General features: G+C 35.0%; 2 annotated features.

Moving 5' to 3' along the window:
• Positions 4,037 to 4,856: an enhancer, noted in NCBI's record as "OCT4-NANOG hESC enhancer chr7:61742447-61743266 (GRCh37/hg19 assembly coordinates)". NCBI's record gives its function as "activates a minimal SCP1, AML or CMV promoter by ChIP-STARR-seq in naive and primed H9 embryonic stem cells {active_cell/tissue: H9 hESC(naive and primed)}" and the evidence as "EXISTENCE:reporter gene assay evidence [ECO:0000049][PMID:30033119]".
• Positions 4,857 to 5,676: an enhancer, noted in NCBI's record as "OCT4-NANOG hESC enhancer chr7:61743267-61744086 (GRCh37/hg19 assembly coordinates)". NCBI's record gives its function as "activates a minimal SCP1, AML or CMV promoter by ChIP-STARR-seq in naive H9 embryonic stem cells {active_cell/tissue: H9 hESC(naive)}" and the evidence as "EXISTENCE:reporter gene assay evidence [ECO:0000049][PMID:30033119]".

Consider the following 6,006-nt stretch of genomic DNA (forward strand, 5'->3'; position numbering starts at 1 on the left):
TAGAATCACAAAACAATTGAAATTCTCTTTGGCAAATTTTCTATTTACTAATCTGCAAAAGTGCACAAAAATAATTTTCAGAGAAAAATAAATATTTGTCATTCAAAGGCATCTAAGTATGCAAGGAAATGATATTCCACCATTTGAAAGGAAAGCAGAAAAAGAGTACATACAGATCCACAAAGGTTCATTAGTGGAAATATCACTGTTAGATTATAAAGCACATTTGCTTTCAAAAAATTTAAAAAAAATGAATATATTGTTAGGAGACTAAAAAATTCATGTAGCAAATTTGGAAAGTAGTTTGTATAAAAATATAGTTATTTTAAATTAAAAACTCAAAGATGAATTCATCAGATTAGACATGGCCAAGGTGAGATTTCATAAATATTTCAGAATGCATTACAGAAAATTTGAAAAAATGTAAAATGTGGACAGAATGATGAAGAGACATGGAAGATACAGTGAGAAAGTGTAGCATGCGTTTAGAGAGTGTTCTCATAGAAGAAGGGAACTGGGAAGGGACAATATGTGTTGGTATTTTGTTTGAAAGTTCCCTAGACTTTTGTAAGACACTAATCTGCATATTCAAAAATTCCATGCAATGTAAGCAAGCTACAATGGAGATAAACCTACACCTATGTATCTCCTAGAGAAATAGTAAACAAGGAAGGGAAAAATATTTCAATTAGCACTAGAAAAATAAAATTACTTTTAATCATATTGAAATCTGAAAAAATGAAAGGTAAAATAAACAATAATATTTGTTAAGAATAATAACGCCATTCTGAATTTCTAAACAAAGAAAAATATTCATTATCCTATGGCTAAATAACATATTTAGAGATAAAACACAAAACGCCACCAGCAGAATTCCACTAAAGAAACAACAGAGAAACTATGAAAATATGCTTCAGAAAGGTTGAAGTTCTGAAATCCAAGAATGAACAGAGAGTAATATATATTGCAAACATACAGATAGAACAAATAAGAAACTGGGTTTTGAAACAAAAATATATTTAAAATTAGATAAGCACTGCAATATGTATGATAAAAAGAAAATTATTAGGGCTGAAGTATTCAAAGAACACTTAATGTTCTGACAAGAGCAGAGAAGTGAGTATGACTTTGCAACTCTTTTTTCTTTTTCGAATGGAATGGAATGGAATGGAATGGAATGGAATGGAATGGAATGGAATAGAATGGAATGGAATGGAATTCAATGGAACTGAATCGAATGGAATTGAATGGAGAGGAATGGAATGGAATGGGAGATGAGATTGTGCCATTGTGCTACGGGATGGGTGACAGAGAGAGACACTCTTGAAAGAAAGGAATGGAATGTAAAGCAGTGGAATAGAACGGAATGGAAGGCAATGGAGTGGAGTGGAGTGGAGAAGAGTGGAGTGGAATGGAATTGGATGTAATGGAAAGTAGTGGAATGGAATGGAATGGAATGGAATCATCATTGAATGGAATAGAATGGAATTATCATCTAATGGAATCAAACGGAATCATCATCGAATGGAATCGAATGGAGTCATCATCAAATGGAATCGAATGGAGACATCATCGAATGGAATCAAAAGGCATCATCATCCAATGGACTTGAACGGAATCATCATCGAATGGACTCGAAAGGAATCATCATCAAATGGAATCAAATGGAATCATCATTGAATGGAGGCGAATGGAATCATCATCGAATGGAATCGAATGGAATCATCATCGAATGGAATCGAATGGAATCATCATCGAATGGAATAGAAAGGTATTATCATCGAATGGAATCAAACGGAATCATCATCGAATGGAAACGAATGGAGTCATCATCGAATGTAATCAAAATGCATCATCATCCAATGAACTTGAACGGAAGCATCATCGAATGGACTTAAAAGGAATCATCATCGAATGGAATCAAATGGAATCATCATTGAATGGAAGCGAATGGAATCATCATCAAATGGAATCAAATGGAATCATCATTGAATGGAAGTGAATGGAATCATCATCGAATGGAATCGAATGCAATCATCATTGAATGGAATCGAATGGAATCATCATCGAATGGAATCGAATGCAACCATCATCAAATGGAATTGAATGGAATCATCATTGAATGGAATCGAATGGAATCGTCAACAAATGTAATCGAATAGAATCATTGTATGGAATCTAAAGGAATCATCATCAAATGGAACTGAATGGGATCATCATTAAATGGAACGAATGGAGTAATCATTAAATGGAATCAAATGGACTCTTGATCGAATGGGATCGAATGGAATCATCATCGAATGGAATCAAATGGAATCATCTAATTGAATCGAATGGAAAGATCATCAAAAGGAATCGAAGGGAATCATCGAATGGGATCAAACAGAATCATAGAAGGGAATCAAAAAGAATCATCGAATGGATTCGGATGGAATCATCAGCGAATGGAATTGAATGGAATCATGGAATGGACTCGAATGGAATCATCATTAAATGGAAACCAATGGAATCATCGAATGAATACAAATGGAATCATCATTGAATGGAATCAAATGGAATCATCGAATGGCATGGAATGGAATCATCATCGAATGGAATCTAATGGAATCATCGAATGGACTCGAATGGAATAATCAAATAGGCTTGAGTGGAATCATCTTCGAATGGAATCGAAAGGAATCATCGAATGGACTCGAATGGAATCATCATCAAATGGAAGCAAATGGAATCACCATCAAATGGAATCGAATGGAATCATCATCAAGTGGAAGCGAATGGAATCATCATCAAATGGAATAGAATGAAATCATCATCGAATGGAATCATCATCGAATGGAATCATCATCGAATGGAATCACCAAATTGAATCGAATGGAATGATCATCGAAGGCAATCGAAGGGAAACATCAAATGGGATTGAACGGAGTCATTGAATGGAATCGAGAGGAATCATCGAATCAACTCAAATGGAATCATCATCGAATGGAATAGAATAGAATCATCGAATGGACACGAATGGAATCATCATCAAATGGGATTGAATGGAATCATCAAATGGACACGAATGGAATGAACATTGAATGGAAACAAAAGGAATCATCAAATGGCATCGAATGGAATCATCGAATAGAATCAAATGGAATAATCGAATTTACTCGAATGGAATCATTGAATGGACTCAAGAGTAATCATCATCGAATGGAATCGAATACAGTCATCAAATGGACTCGAACGGAATCCTCATCGATTGGAATCGAATGGAATCACTGAATGGAGTTGAAGGGAATCATCATGGAATGGAATCGAATGGAATCATCGAATGGAGTCAAATGTAATCATCAGCAAGTGGAATGGAATCGAATGGAATCATGGAATAGCATCAAATGGAATCATCATCGAATGGAGTCAAATGGAATCATCAAATGAACTCAAATGGAATCATCATAGAATGGGATCACATGGAATCTTTTAATGGACCCGAATGGAATCATCATCGAATGGAATCGAATGGAGTCATCATCGAATGCAATTGAATGGAATCGTCATCGAATGGAATCGAATGGAACCATCAACGAATGGAATTCAAAGGAATCATCATCGAATGGAACCAAATAGAATCATCAAATGGACTCGAAAGGAATCATCAAATGGATTCAAAAGGAATCGTCATGAAATATAATTGAATGGAATCATCAAACAGAATTGAATCAAATCTTCATCAAAAGAAATCAAATGGAATCATCAAATGGACTCGATTGGAATCAACATGGAATGGAATCAAAAGGAATCATGGAATGAACTCAAAGGGAATCATTGAATGGAATTTAAAGGAATCATCATCAAATGTAATCAACTGGAAACACTGAATGGAATCGAATGGAATCATCATAGAAAATAATCGAATAGAATAACCGAATGGAATCACATGCAATCAACATCAAATGGAATCAAATGGAATCATAGAATGACATCGAATGGAATCATCATCGAATGGAATCAAAGGGAATCATCATCAAATGGAATCAAAAGCAATCAATGAATGGACTTGAATAGAATCATCAAATGGATTTGAAGGGAATCCTCATCAAATGGAATAGAATGGAACCATCGAATGGACTCGAATGGAATCATCATCGAATGGAATCAAACGGAATCATCACATGGACTCCAATGGAATCATCATCAAATGGGATCATCATCAAATGGAATCAAATGGAATCATCGAATGGACACGGAAGGAATGAACAAATGGACTCAAATGGAAACATCAAATAGAATCGAATGGAATCATCGAAAGGAATCAAAAGGAATTATCGAATGGACTCGAATGGAATCATTGAATGGACATGAATGGAATTATCATCAAATGGAATCGAATGGAATCATCAAATGGACTCGAATGGAATCATTGAATGGACTCGAATGGAATCATCAAATGGACTCAAATGGATTCATCAAATGGAATCAAACTGAATCATCATTGAATGGAATCGAATGGAATCATCGAATGGAATTGAAGGCAATCATCATCGAATGGAATCGAATGGAATCATCATCAAATAGAATCGAATGGAATCATCAAATGGAATCGAATGGAATCATCATCAAATGGAATTGAGCGGAATCATCGAATGGAATCAAATGGAATCATTGTCGAATGGAATGGAATGGAATCATTGAATGGAATTGAATGGGATCACCAATGAACGGAATCAAATGGAAACATCTTCTAATGGAATCGAAAGGAATCATCAAATGGACTCGAATGGAATCATCATCAAATGGAATCGTGTGGAATCGTTGAATGAACTGGAAATGAATCATAATCAAATGGAATCAAAAGGAATCATCATCGAAAGGAATCACATTGAATCATCATAGAATGGAATCATACGGAAACATCACAGAACAGAATTGCATGGAATCAGCAATTCGACTCAAATGGAATCATCAAATGGACTCGAAGGGAAGTGTCGAATGGACTCGAACAGAATCATCATCAAACGGAATAGAATGGAATCATCAAAAGGACTTGAATGGAATCATCAAATGGACTCGAAGGGAATCATTATTGAATGGAATTGAATAGAGTCATCGGATGGACTCGAATGGAATCATCATTGAATGGAATTGATTGGAAACATCGAATACACTCGAATGGAATAATCATCTAATGGAATTGAATGGAATCATTGAATGGACACGAATGGAATCATCATCAAATGGAATCCATTGGAATCATCAAATGTAATCGAATGGAACTATCAAGTGGAATCGAATGGAATCATCTTTGAATGGAATTGAATGGAACCATAGAACTGAATCGAATGCAGTCATCATTGAATGGAACTGAAAGGAATCATTGAATGGAATCCAATGGAATCACCATTGAATGCACTCTCATGGAATCATCATTGAATAGAATCGAAAGGAATCATTGAATGGACTCGAATGGAATCATCATCGAATGGGAATGGAATCGAATGGAATCATCAAATGGAATCAAATGGAATCATCATCAAATGTAATCAAATGGAATCATTGAATGGAATCGAATGGAATCATAATTGAATGGATTCGAACAGAATCATCGAATGAAATAGAATGGAATCAACAACAAATGGAATTGAAAGGAATCTTAGAATGGCATCGAATGGAATCATTATCTAATGGAAAGGAATGGAATAAGCATCGAATGGAGTAGAATGGAATCATTGAATGGACACAAATGGAATCATGATTGAATGGAATCGAATGGAATCACCCAATGGACCCGAATGGAATCATCATTGAATGGAATAGAAGGGAATCATCATCGAATGGAATCAAATGGAATCATCCAATGGACACGAATGGAATCATCTTTGAATGGAATAGAATGGAATTATCATCGAATGGAATCGAATGGAATCATCTAATGAACCCGAATGGAATCATCATTGAATGGAATAGAATGGAATCATCAAGTGGAATTGAATAGAATCTTCATCATATGGAATCCAGTGC

This window comes from Homo sapiens, chromosome 7 (genome assembly GCF_000001405.40).
Source record: "Homo sapiens chromosome 7, GRCh38.p14 Primary Assembly".
NCBI classification, from domain to species: domain Eukaryota; kingdom Metazoa; phylum Chordata; class Mammalia; order Primates; family Hominidae; genus Homo; species Homo sapiens.